Source organism: Homo sapiens, chromosome 7, assembly GCF_000001405.40.
Source record: "Homo sapiens chromosome 7, GRCh38.p14 Primary Assembly".
Lineage (NCBI taxonomy): Eukaryota > Metazoa > Chordata > Mammalia > Primates > Hominidae > Homo > Homo sapiens.
The window spans coordinates 111,703,816-111,718,520 of NC_000007.14; positions in this window are offsets into that span (position 1 = coordinate 111,703,816).

Consider the following 14,705-nt stretch of genomic DNA (forward strand, 5'->3'; position numbering starts at 1 on the left):
GGGTGTTAGTCTCCCACTATTATTGTGTGGGAGTCTAAGTCTCTTTGGAGGTCTCTAAGAACTTGCTTTATGAATCTGGGTGTTCCTGTATTTGACACATATATATTTAGGATAGTTAGTCCTTCTTGTTGCATTGATCCCTTTACCATTATGTAATGCCCTTCTTTGTCGTTTTTGATCTTTGTTGGTTTAAAGTCTGTTTTATCAGAGACTAGGATTGCAATCCCTGCTTTTTTTTTCATTTAAATTTGCTTTGTAAATATTCCTCCATCCCTTTATTTTTGAGACTACCTGTGTCTTTGCACATGAGATGGGTCTCCTGAATACAGCACACCAATGGGTCTTGACTTTTTATCCAGTTTGCCAGTCTGTGTCTTCTAATTGGGGAATTTAGTCCACTTACATTTAAGGTTAATATTGTTAGGTGTGAATTTGATCCTGTCATTATGATGCTACCTGGATATTTTGCCCATTAGTTGATGTACTTTCTTAATAGTGTTGATGGTCTTTACAATTTGCTATGGTTTTGCAGTGGCTCATACCAGTTTTTCCTTTCCATATTTAGTGCTTCCTTCAGGTGCTCTTGTAGGCAGGCCTGGTGGTGACAAAATCTCTCAGCATTTGCTTGTCTGTAAAGGATTTTATCTCTCCTTTCCTTATGAAACTTAGTTTGGCTGGATATGAAATTCTGGGTTGAAAATTCTTTAAGAATGTTGAATATTGGCCCCCACTCTCTTATAGCTTGTAGGGTTTCTGCAGAGATGTCTGCTGTTAGTCTGATGGGCTTCCCTTTGTGGGCAACCCAACCTTTCTCTCTGGCTGCCCTTAAGATTTTTTCCTTCATTTCAACCTTGGTGAATCTGATGATGATGTGTCTTGGAGTTGCTCTTCTCGAGGAGTATCTTTGTGGTGTTCTCTGTATTTCCTCAATTTGAATGTTGGCCTGTGTTGCTAGTTTGGGGAAGTTCTCCTGGATAATATCCTGAAGAGTGTTTTCCAACTTGGTTCCATTCTCCCCATCACTTTCAGGTATACCAATCAGATGTAGATTTGGTCTTTTCACATAGTCCCATATTTCTTGGAGGCTTTGTTCATTCCTTTTCATTCTTTTCTCTCTAATCTTGTCTTCACACTTTATTTCATTAAGTTGATCTTCAATCTCTGATATCCTTTCTTCCACTTGATTGATTCAGCTATTAATATTTGTGTATGCTTCATGAAGTTCTTGTGCTGTGTTTTTCAGCTCCATCAGGTCATTTATGTTCTCTAAACTGGTTATTTTAGTTAGCATTTCTGGTAACCTTTTATCAAGGTTCTTAGCTTCCTTGCTTTGGGTTAGAACATGCTCCTTTAGTTCAGAGAATTTTGCTATTACCCACTTTCTGAAGCCTACTTCTGTCAATTCATCAAACTCATACTCCCGTCCAGTTTTGTTCCCTTGCTGGCAAGAAGTTGTGATTCTTTTGGAGGAGAAAAAGCATTTTGGTTTTTGGAATTTTCCTCAGCATTTTGCACTGGTTTTTCCTCATCTACCTTTGATCTTTGATGCTGATGACATTTGGATGGGGTTTTTGCGTGGGTGTCCTTTTTGTTGATGTTGATGTTATTGCTTTCTGTTTGTTAGTTTTCCTTCTAACAGGCCCCTCTGCTTCAGGTCTACTAGAGTTCACTGGAGGTCCACTCCAGACCCTGTTTGCCTGGGTATCACCAGCAGAAGCTGCAGAACAGCAAAGATTGCTGCCTACTCCTTGCTCTGGAAGCTTCGTCCCAAAGGGGCACCTGCCAGATGCCAGCTGGAGCTCTCCTATATGAGGTGTTTCTCGACACCTGCTGGGAAATGTCTCCCCATCAGGAGGCATGGGGGTCAGGGACCCACTTGAGGAGGCAGTCTGTCCCTTAGCAGAGCTCAATTGCCATGCTGGGAGATCTGCTGCTCTCTTCAGAGCTGGCAGGCAGGAATGTTTACCTCTGCTGAAGCTGCACCCACAGCCACCCCTTCCCCCAGGTGCTCTGTCCCAGGGAGATGGGAGTTTTATCTATAAGCCCCTGACTGGTGCTGCTGCCTTTCTTTCAGAGTTGCCCTGCTTAGAGAGGAGGAATCTAGAGAGGCAGTCTGGCTACAGTGGCTTTGCTGTGCTACAGTGGGTTCTGCCCAGTTCGAACTTCCTGGGGATTTCATTTACACTGTGAGGGGAAAACCCCTACTCAAGCCTCAGTAACGGTGGGTGCACCTCCCCCAACCAAGCTCCAGTGTCCCAGGTAGACTTCTCACTGCCAGCACAGCAGTCTGAATTTCAAGCCAGTGGATCTTAGCTTGCTGGGCTTCATGCGGGTGGGACCCGCTGAGCTAGACCACTTGGCTCCCGGGCTTCAGCACCCTTTCCAGGGGAGTGAACAGTTCTGTCTCGCTGGTGTTCCGGGCACCGCTGGGGTACAAAAAAAATCTCCTGGCAGCTAGTTCGGTGTCTGCCCAAAAGGCCACCCAGTTTTGTGCTTGAAACCCAGGGCCCTGGTGGTGTAGTCACCCAAGGGAATCTCCTGGTCTGCGGGTTGCCAAGACCATGGGAAAAGTGCAGAATCTGGGCTGGAGTGCACAGTACAGTCCCTAATGGCTTCCCTTGGCTGGGAGAGGGAGTTCCCTGACCTCTTGCACTTCCTGGGTGAGGCGACACCCCAACCTGCTTCAGCTCACCCTCTGTGGGCTGCACCCGCCATCTAACCAGTCCCAATGAGATAAGCCAGGTACCTCAGTTGGAAATGCAGAAATCACCCACCTTCTGCGTTGGTCTCGCTTGGAGCTGCAGACCACAGCTGTTCCTATTCAGCCATCTTGTGAAGACTCAGGAATACATTCTTAACAATCCTTTGTCTTTGCATCACTAGAACAAGAGTCAAAGTCCAGAGGTGATACAGCCAGCTAGAGACCTCTGATTGCCAAGGAGCAAAGAGAAGCAAGGTCTAGCACTCTCAGCTTATAAGTGGGAAAAGCATCACCTTCCCCCACACGACCCACAATGGAGGCTTCCCTCAAATGGCAGTGGGGATTGGATTCTGGGTAATACCCTTTCCCCAAAACACAAAAATCTGCTACCTACATACATGGTCAAATTTTTGTGTCTATTTTAAAAGACATTTTCAGATAAAATTTTCTAGACTAGGCGAGAGATTCAACATCAAATCCACATATCTGATTTTCTATCACTTTTATTTATTTTTATTTACTTATTTTTTTGAGACAAAGTCTCGTTTTGCTGCCCAGGTTGGAGTGCAGTGGTGCAATCTTGGCTTACTACAACCTCTGCCTCCCAGGTTCAAGTGATTCTCTTATGTCAGCCTCCCGAGTAGTTGGGATTACAGGTGCCCACCACCATGCCCAGCTAATTTTTGTATTTTTGGTAGGGATGGGTTTCCACCATGTTGGCCAGGCTGGCCTTGAACTCCTCACCTCAAGCAATCCACCCGCCTTGGCCTCCCAAAGTGCTGGGATTATAGGCGTGAGCCACTGAGCCTGGCCTGATTTTCTATCACTTTTATTTTATTTATTGTTTGAGATGGAGTTTTGCTCTTGTTGCCCAGGCTGGAGTGCAGTGGTGCAATCTCGGCTCACCATAATCTCTGCCTCCCGGGTTTAAGTGATTCTCCTGCCTCAGCCTCCCAAGTAGCTGGGATTACAGGCATGTGCCACCACGCCCAGCTAATTTTGTATTTTTAGTAGAGATGGGGTTTCCCCATGTTGGTCAGCCTGGTCTGGAACTCCCAATCTCAGGTGGTCTGCCTGCCTCAGCCTCCCAAAGTGCTAGGATTACAGGTGTGAGCCACTGCACGTGGCCTGATTTTCTATCACTTTTACATGTGCATGTTTGGCCTGGATGGTTTAAGACATGAATTTGATCTAATCAGCCTTAGATATTTTGGGAGAATATAGCCTTCAAAAATGTTTTTAAGGCATCATGTAATTCTTAAGTATTTTCAACGCATGCACGTGTGCATGCACATAAACGCACAGAACACTCACTGAAAATATTCTTTCATATATATGTAAAAATATACCAAGTGTGTTGGTTTATCATTTTCTACGTACAGCTTACTGGCACAAAAGTCCAAAAAGAAGCCCTTGCAAACATGATTTAATTTTATTGACACACCTTGCATCAATTTTCTAATTCAAATTCTACATGCAATGGTTAGGATTCATTCTAAACTGCTTAAGTACTGTAGAATAAATTTGATAGAAGGTCCTTCCCCCTACCACACACACGATAATTTAAAGGTTCTAGGATGGGTAAATGGCTCTGCTACATAACTAGTTATCTCTGCCTTCAATGTGTAACTTCTGTCTCTAGGCCCAAGACCGCAGCTGCAATTCATTTTCAGCTGGCAGTGAGGGGAAAAGGCTTTAGTGCAGGGCAAGCAGCTATGAGTTGTCCCAGAATTTGCATACATCGCTTATGATCACTTGCTATTGGCCTGAATTTAGTCACGTGGCCATTCCCAGTTTAAAGGGAAGCTGAGAAATAGTCTCTGCCATGAGCCCAGCTAAAATACAGGGATTCTAGTACAAAAGGAAGGAGAAAATGGATACTAGGGGGTTAGCAATCTCTACCAAATCAGTGGCATCTGATGTGTGAAAGTTTACTAGTTTTTCCACAGTTAACTCAATCTTTGTTTCAATGAAGTATAAAGAGGAATGTCTTGTTGAACAAGGAACCTCTTCCTGTTCCTTTCAGAGGAGAGAGGCAGTAGGCATTAGATAGAATCAAGAATATGGGGACAAAGAAAGAATATAAGAACTATGTGGGTTTATAATCCAAGCTTTGATATTTACTGGCTCTGTGACTTTGAGTAAACTGCTTTTCGTGTGCTTCAGTTTCCTCATTAGGATGATAGGAAAGAAAGTAGTTGGAATAGGGTTTGGGTTATAGGATTCACTCAGTTAATACTTATTTTATCTACTGAGGGTAATTATTAATAATTCCTTTTAGCTAATATTTTTAATGAAATATTCTGAAACTGTTATTAGTATCGTTCTACTATGAGAAGTACTTTTCAAAGAGCAGTCGTGGCCCTGTTGAGTTGATTTCACCTCTCATCTTCTGAAACTTTTCCAACTTCATTTCTTCTTACTCCTCCCCTGTGATTCTTTTCATTCCCAACACCTAGCTGCTTCCTGCCTTGGCTCATTCTGTTTCTTCCTTTCAATCCCTTCCAGACAGTTCATACTCACAACTTTTTCACACTTTCATCTCAAATTATTCCCCAAGCAACTCTTATCTACTCCCACTGCTGGAGCACCTCAGGCTTCCCTACATTGGAGATGCCCATTTAACCATCCTCTCTTGTACTAGTTTATATGGCATTCTGGTCTCTCTGGCTGACACTGTTACCTGCCTCCCAAATATCCACTGCTCTCTTTTGCTTGCTATTAGAAACCCAATTTTATTCAAGGCAGTGATATGTTCACCAAGTAAAATGTTTACTATCCTAGCCTACCATGCAGCTAGAGATAACTGTGCAACAGTTCTGGCAAATGAGATGTACTGGTGTCTGTTTAGGGATTTGGGATATTTTTACCTATAAAAAAGGGAGACATTGTTAAAAAAATTATCCTGACACTAGTTAAAACAGTAAGACAGGCTTTATTCAGGAGTATTGTAATGGGTGCCAACACAATCACAATAGGGGAGCTTTGTCAAGCTCAACTCTGAATACAGTAAAGACACCTGGGGACTTACAGCCAATGAGAAGGATGAACGGTTATTGGATGGAAAATAAATAACTCAGAGAAGATCTCAAGGGTAGGGGGATTCTTGCTAAACTGACCTGACAGCATTGTTGCTGAAGACAGGCCAGGGTGATCAGATATCAAGGATGGGTGATGAGGACTTTTTGATCAGACTGAGATATCAGGGGACCTAGTTGAAATAAAGCAAGGACCTAGTTGAAAAAAGGGCTCGGAATTCCTACCTAGAGCAATCAGACAAGAGAAATGAATAAAGGGCATCCAAATTGGAAAGAAGTCAAATTATCCTTGTTTACAGATGGTATCTTATATTTGGAAAAAGACTCCACCAAAAAACTATTAGAACTGATAAATTCAGTAAAGTTGCAGGATAAAAAATCAACATGCAAATATCAGTAGCATTTCCATATGCCAACAGGGAACAACCTGAAAAAGAAATCAAGAAATTTATCTCATTTACAATTACTGCAAATAAAATACCCAGTAATTAAAGAAGTGAAAGATCTCTACAATGAAAACTATAAAATATTAGTGAAAGAAACTGAAGAGGACATAAAGAAATGGAAAGATATTCCATGTTCATGAATTGGAAGAATCAAGGTTGTTAAAATGTCCATACTTCCCAAAGCAATCTACAGACTTAATACAATCCCTATCAAAATACCAATGACATTCTACACAGAAAGAGAAAAAGGAATCCTAAAATTTATATGGAGCCACTAAAGACCCAGAATAGCCAAAGCTATCCTAAGCAAAAAGAAGAGGGCTCAGAGAGACTTTGTAAACATAGCTGTTTTGCTCTTCCTTCTACCATTCCCCATTCACCCCCACCTTTCTTATAATCTGGACCTGTGATATCTGAAACTGCAGCAGTAATTTTGTGCCCATGAAGAAATACACAGGAGGAAAAAAGCACCCTCGTTAAGGACGGTGTAATGAAAATAAAGAGCTGGAGTTCCTATTGGCATCATTAGTCAGTAAACAAATGCCAGCAGCCACCTGACTCTTCATTTGTCTTGTCTTTGCATTTCCAGCTGATAAATCTACCATTTCCACATATTTCCTGTGTCCCTCCCACCTCAGGTGAAATTTCTGTCCTATTTGGTTCCAGAGTTAATATTGGAAGCAGAAAATACTTTAAATTTATTCCTGCTTTAGATCCCACCCCTGACTCTAGCATTGACTTACTCTAGCAATTGGCCTGACCTGGCATGGGGTTACCCAGCACTCTACATGAGGCTCCAGAATTGCATCCTCAATGTACCTGCTTCATCTTTCATCTGAGATGTGATATTCTGGGGAGAATTATGGGCTTCTCAGTTGCTCTCTGAAAAGATCACTTCCACCTCTTACCTATTTTATGTGAATAAGCTTCTGAGTCTTTGTTTTAAGCCCAAGTCTTCCATGTGAGTGTCAGTTTATAGAACTGGACTTTTTACGCTCCCCATCCTGACTCCTGCTGGACATTGGCTGTCTCTGACCCTGGTCTAAAGGCTGGCACTCTTTTCCCCTTGAGAATGCCTAAGAGACACCAGTGTTAGCCTTCTGAGCATCCATGCTCTTTGGTTTCCCTGCAGACCTGTGGTGACCCCCTGCTTTCTCATCCTGAACCCAAAGCATGGATAAACCATGCATAAGCCATGACTGGAGATGTCCATAAGATTTGGGCTTTGTGTGTGTGTTTAAAATCTAGACTATGCTCAGCTGTTAGCTCTTACAGCTGCTCAGTTACCCCAGCAGAAGGTCTGACCTGGTAGGTGATTCTAGTGTCATAGCAGTCCCATTGTCTTGTCTCATTACAAGAAAATGGTCACATCTTAGCTATAAATCCTTTGAAACTTTGATAATTCTAGTTACTTGGGATTTGTGGTTTGTCCTTTTAATAATACCATTGAGACTCTGAGGGTTAGTTAATTCTCTTTTTAAATTTTTAAAAAGTGAACTCTGAGAGGGTATTTATGAACATGTAATAGTCTAATAATTGTTGAATGAATGGATAATGAGTCACTAAGTCCAGGGAAACCTATAGGTCAGAATAACAACAGTGCTTTCTTTTCATATTTCTGTCTTCTGAACAGCTTCAGGGAGTGTGGCCTGCTTGTAATTGGTAATGAAAATAGGAGACTTTAATTCCTTCCAGTGCTGTCTTGTTTGATTAGCACCACAATTTGTGTCCAGTAGTTACACGGAAAAAAACAGTTATCTTGGCATTTAAGCTAGTAATTCCAAATGTGACACAAATGACCTGGATACTGCTTGTAGTGGAAAATACGAAAGAGGCTTAATGTAAAATCCAACCTTCGAGGCCTTTTGTGGCCACTTCTGCTACTCAGCATCCACTCATGCCTGACCGGCACCATTCCCTGGTTTTAATCCACCTATCTGGTTCACCAGCTGTTGCTTGGCTCATTACATTTGACAAGGTTCCCAAGATGGTGATACTAGCCTCCCTGGTACTTTTTTTTTTTTTTTAACTAGGGAGAAGAAAGAAATATTTTCATCTTCTCATTGCAGTTTTTAATGAAACGTCTTTTTTTTTCTTGTTATATGTGGAGTGATGACTAGTCAGTGAAAAAGTACTGGAGTGTGAAGAAAAAGCAGCAGAAAAAAATGGTAGAAAGAAATGGCAAGTTACTATTTAGAGACTTAAAAATAAACAGAAGGGCCCACTTAGCTTTCCTCATCCGCTGGTCCTATCTCAGAGGTTGTGCCTCCATGGGCTCGAGTCAATCACAGTTTATCTGATTCATTTTCAGTTCTTTGGAGACAGCAATGTTTGAAAATTCGGTTCCTTTCTATTGCAGAAAAGCTTTTGAGCCACGCCAAACAAGGGTCCTGTGATGAAATCCACAAAGGCCTTAAACTGAAACCTCCCAAATGAAGGCTAAGGTCTGAAGAAGACTACTTCACACTGTGGGCCAGTGAGTGAGCCAGGGGACCTTACTTCACCTTTTTATTTTTTTTTCTGTAGATTCTGACTCTAAGAAACAATTGAGTGTTTTGACCAACAACAAAAAAATCAAAAGTCTCTAAGGACATAAGCAATAGAATATTTTAGTGTAGAAAATTGCAAGCAATAAAACAGGTAAAATAATAAATACATGTATTCCAAAGAAAAATACATCAAAGGCCATTACAGCAAGTTACATTACAATAAACATCATAGTCATGTGCTGCCCTGTGTTCTGATTTCTAACTTTCACCTCCCCTCAACATCAGCCACTCATTTCCATGGCACTGTCTGGACTACTGATCACCCAGAACTACTCCAAAATGACAATACATAACGTTCCACTCCTGGCCCATCACTTCCTCCTTCCAGCTCTCACTCCTTCCATATCCCTTTATCCTTCCACATCTGGCCTTATCCAAACCTCCAGTCACATTCCTCCAAGTCTATCAGAGCCCCAAAGTTTTGAACCAAGATGAAGGCAACCTTCATCTGCCTTCCTGGAAGCTAGACTTTGGCCACTGAATGCTGCTGGAGAAAGTTGCAAAATCACACCAAATGGTGCTATCACAGATTCATGATCTCCAATCTCAGCTGGCCTTCCACATGGCCCAGGAATTCTTATATATGTTTAGACATCATTAGCTCCAACAAGGGTGGCCCACCCTTCACAACTCTCCTTAGGCCCACTTTACCAGTTCACTTACTCTCAGCAAATAATTCTTCTCCTGCTACATGGATAAAATAGGGTCACCAGGAATGAACTTTTTAAACTCTCACCATATCTCTAAAAAATGTTGATCTGTATTCAACGCCAAGAGCTCCAGAGAAAGAGGCATCCCTCTTCCTGTTCAAGACCAATCTCTTTCCTGTCCCCTGAATCCCATTCACATCCTCAGGAACATCTTCATCTACCCTACAGGCTATTTCTCTCCCTGACACATCCTATTATTTCTACTGCAGATCTCTTATTTGTCCTCTCTGCTTCTCTGCCTTTAGTAAGATCCTCCTTACTGCAGACCTGTAGGAGCCTCTCGCTGGTCTTCCCGCCTCCTCCATTCTTTGCTTCTCCCAATCCACCCTCGTAACCTATGAGTAATCTTGCATAGCAATACTAAAATATAAGCCTGAGCAGTCTTTCTTCCATTCTTAAAATCCTTTAGAGGCTCCTTATCACCATTAGGAAAAAAGTTCAAACTCCCTGGCATATCATGCCCCTCATAACTGGGTCTTTCCCTAACCTCTCCAGCTCTATCTCTTCGCTGTTTGCCACCTGATGCTTCTGCAATCAAAACCCTCTTTCTCTCCCCCACATACTACTATCTTCCAGGTCTCTGCTTATGCAGGTAATCTCTTCCTGAGATGTCTTTTCCCTGTCTTGTCATTCCTGATTGGTCAAAATCTTTCATAAAAGGCTACCACCTCTGTGCTGCCTTCTCTACCCCCACTTCACCTTATAACACTCTACTCTAGGTTAAATGCCTTGGCATTACAGTAGCATCCTTCTCATGATTCTTTTCTATTCTGTATCATGCCTGTATCATTTATTCATCTATTAAGCTGTTTATTTCTTTATGCAAATTAACTACAGAAAAATTGAAACTGGCCGGGTGCTGTGCCTCATGCCTATAATCCCAGCACATTGGGAGGCTGAGACAGGTGGATCACCTGAGGTCAGGAGTTCGAGACCAGCCTGACCAACATGGTAAAACCCCGTCTCTACTAAAAACAGAAAAATTAGCCAGGTATGGTGGTGCATGCCTGTAATCCCAGATACTTGAGATACTGAGGCAGGAGAATCACTTGAACCTGGGAGGCGGAGATTGCAGTGAACCAATATTATGCCACTGTACTCCAGCCTGGGTGACAAGAGTGAAACTCTGTCTCAAAAAAACAAAACAAAACCCCAAAAAACCCCTATAATTTTCTACCTAGATTTAACAACACTAAATTTTGGCCTATATTCTAATATACATATAATTCTTTGATAGTGGGTTTATAAATACTATTTTATGGCATAAAATTTTCAGATAGTATTATAAATATCTTTTCATGACACAAATCACATACACATCATAATTTTTAATAGCTGCTGAGCAGCATTACATTGTATGGATATTTTATTAAAGCCATTCTCCATTGTTAGTAACTTAGAATATTACAAAGTTTCATTATTATAATCTACATTGCAATGATTATGCATAAATATTTGTATGCATATTTGATAAGGATATTTTCTTAGAATCAACTCTTAGAGGTGGAATTTCTGGGTCAAGGAGAATTTTAGATGGTGTTGGGAGATATTTTGCCTAATAGAAGAATCACTATATTTAGATGCTGGTCTGTTTCTCTTCCTTCCCATTAGTCTGGAGCCACCTGCAAGGTGGAAACGTTGTGTTAGTTGCTATGTCCCTGGGACCACACTTTAAGTATCACTGCCTCATGTCAGAGTCAAGCATGTCAGAGATTCATGCCATCTGGCTGACTGCTGTTCTCTAAGAATAGGGAAACATAAAATAGGACTTCAGGATCACCAGCGCCAAACTTTGTTCTACTATTGTCGAGAAAATAAATCAGCCCAACAGCATGATAAAGCAGTGTTTGAACCTATGTGTTGAATGGGTACATATTATGTGAAGTCAACCTTTATGGGTTGTGTCACTCATTTGGTGATTAATAAATTTTTGATCACCTAGAGACATATCTTGTGATATTAATATACATATATCACTAGATAATATACATGTCTCCATTTTTCACAATTAAGAGGAATTTCCTGGAAAATGGCAAGCATTATACTTCCATGAATGCCTATAAGTGTGTGCTCTTGGCAAGCCCTAAATAATGCCTTAGTCACCCAGATAAGTCTAGTCTTCATCATAAAACTACTAGAAGGAGGGACAGGGGCTCATTCTGCTAATGTTTTCATCCTCTGATAAAGGGCCAGCTAAGAGAATCAGCTGCCTGCCATGGGGAGCCCTCAGCACACTTGTAAAACAGAGTTGAAGGTGACTTCCCTCTGCTCAGCATCACTCACAGGTGGCAGGATGGTCTTGGCTGTGGCAGCCAGTAGGCATTGTAACATGGAAGGTCAAAGGCCATTTCAGCACCTCAAGAAAATGCACATTTGCTATTGCCACCCAGGAGTTCTTTTCAGCACTATATCACTAATATTTTGTACATCTGGTTTGAGGAAGTTTTCTGAATGACACACAGCTTCCCAACAACTTTAAAGGATGATGGAATTTTCTTTAAAAGCTAGTAACAGGAATATGGGGAAAAGGAAATTAGTGTCTGGAGACACTACCCACACATCAGGGTTGTTCAAAGACTTTTGACTTGAGTTCTGCAGCAATCAAGCACTCAAGGCTCACAGTTCAAGATGAACCCCAGGCTCTTAGCCTAAAACGTCTGCAATCACAGCTGAGCATGATGAGATGGAGAAGAATTAAAACAGGTTCAAACTTACTAAATGATGTAAAATCACTACCAGAAAATTATATCCCATGAAATACTTGAGGCCAAGGTGATAACTAATCAGCTCATTTCTGTAAAATGTTTTGACTCTTGCAGAGAAAAATATTAAAAATAGTTTCTGCAAATGTTCCATCTCACTTTAAGAGTAACGGATGCCCCAGGCCCTAGGTCTTCTCCCACACCACTCTCTACTGGGAGAGTTGGGATTCTACTTCTACTCTCCTTCCCCTGCTTCCCAGGCTGAGATTTCAGGAAGTAGTATAGTGAAAAAAAAAAAAAAATGAGACAGTTGTAGGTCGTTAACTTTTAATTGTGCAAGTAAAGATATTGGGAAAAAATCCTCTCATGTACTATCACTATAGTTCAAAAGCAGAGGATGTTGTAATGTCCTAGAAAGGTAGACTGAAGAGAAGTTCTTCTCAACTTGGGGCAATTGGGAATTTAAGACAACATATATATCCCTATCATGTTGCTCTTTTTTTTTTCTTATTTTACAAAAAATGTGTGAAAACTTCATAATGGGGCAACACTGGCATTTGGGAAACACTCCTTTAGTGTGTAACAGCATGTTTTCCATGTTTCCCAAACACATCCCTTAAAGCAGCGTTCCCCAACCCCTAGGCCATGGTACTGGTCCTTGGCCTGTTAGGAACTGGGCCACATAGCAGGAGGTGAGTGACTAGGCCACAGAGCATTATTGCCTGAGCTCTGCCTCCTGTCAGATCAGCTGTGGCATTAGATTCTCACAGAAGCATGAGCCCTGTGGTGAACTGCGCATGCAAGCGATCTAGGTTGCGTGCTCCTTTTAAAGAATCTTAGGCTGGGTGCAGTGGCTCACACCTGTAATCCCAGCACTTTGGGAGGCCAAGGCAGGCAGATCACCTGAGGTCAGGAATTCAAGACCAGCCTGGCCAACATGGTGAAACCCTGTCTCTACTAAAAATACAAAAATTAGCCGAGCGTGGTGTTGGGCGCCTGTAGTCCCAGATACTTGGGAGGCTGAGGCATGAGAATTGCTTTAACCCAGGACACGGAGGCTGCAGTGAGCCGAGATCATGCGACTGCACTCCAGCTGGGTGACAGAGTGAGACTCTGCCCTAAAAGAAAAAAAAATCTAATGCCTGATGATCTGGGCTAGAACAGTTTCATCCTGAAACTATCCCCCTACCCTGTCTATGGAAAAATTGTCTTCCACACAACCAGTCCCTGGTGCCTAAAAGGTTGGGGACTGCTGCCTCAAAGCACTGCATTTCTGTTTCCAGTCTGTTCTCGGGCACATTCTCCTCCTGATCTCCTCCCCAGGCACCTAGCTTCCCCTGCTTACTCTCATCCTTTTCTTCCTCCTGCTATTCTTTTCCTCTGACCCCACGGAACTCTGACTCCATTATGGGCCAACATCTGCCTTCTTACCTCTTACTTGCATTTCTCTCCAGTCCGCTCCTTTAAATTATATCCCAGATATCCTGATTATACCTCTTTCTTAGGGGGTTTCACCATTGCTGAGTGTGAGAGAAGGGAAGTAGCAGGATCAGCCCACCCAGTTCACATCCACAAACACCTGAGGAGATTGGCAAGGTCTACCCAGCCCTGGGGTTCTGCTGGAGCTCACCTAATCCACTCCTGAGGCTGTTCCTGCTTATTTTTGCCCAGGATTTTCCGGTTTCTAGGGAGTGCTTTCACTTGGTGGTTCCTAGGCCTACCTGTCTCTCCGTTTCCACTACGATGTTTTTTGGGGAAGGTAAATTGTAAAACTGATAGTTATTTGGCTGAAAATCTGGAAAATTCAAAATAAATGATCACCCATAATTTCACACTTAATTATTATCAGCTTGGTGTATTTTTTTAAGCATGCAATTTTAAAAATGTAGCCATAATCATAGCATACATATACTTCAAATCTTCCTTTTTTCATTTCATATATTAGTTTTTCCTCCTTGTTAACAGTCTTCAAAAACATTCTTAAAAATAGTGTTATATACCATTCCATTGATTGACTGTATCATATTTTATGGAACCATCTTTATATCACATTTCTTTTTTCTTTTTCAAATTTTATTTTAGGTTCAGGGGGTATATGTGCAGGTTTGTTACATGGGTAAATTACGTGTGGCTGGAGTTTGGTGTACAAATGATTTTGTCACACAGGTAGTGAACATAGTACCCAACAATTTTTTTTAACCCTCGTCCACTTTCCACCCCTCCACCATCAAGTAGGCACTGTTGTCTATTGTTCCCCTTTATTTTTTTGTTTGTGAGACAGAGTTTTGCTCTTTTTGCCCAGGCTGCAGTGAATGGTGTGATCTTGGCTCACTGTAGCCTCTGCCTTCCAGGTTCAAGCAATTCTCCTGCCTCAGACTCCCGAGTAGCTGGGATTGCAGGCATGCACCACCACCTCTGGCTAATTTTTGTGTTTTTAGTAGAAACAGGGTTACACCATGTTGGCCAGACTGGTCTTGAACTCCTGACCTCAGGTGATCCACCCACCTCGGCCTCCCAAAGTGCTGGGATTACAGGTGTAAGCCACTGCACCTGGCCTAT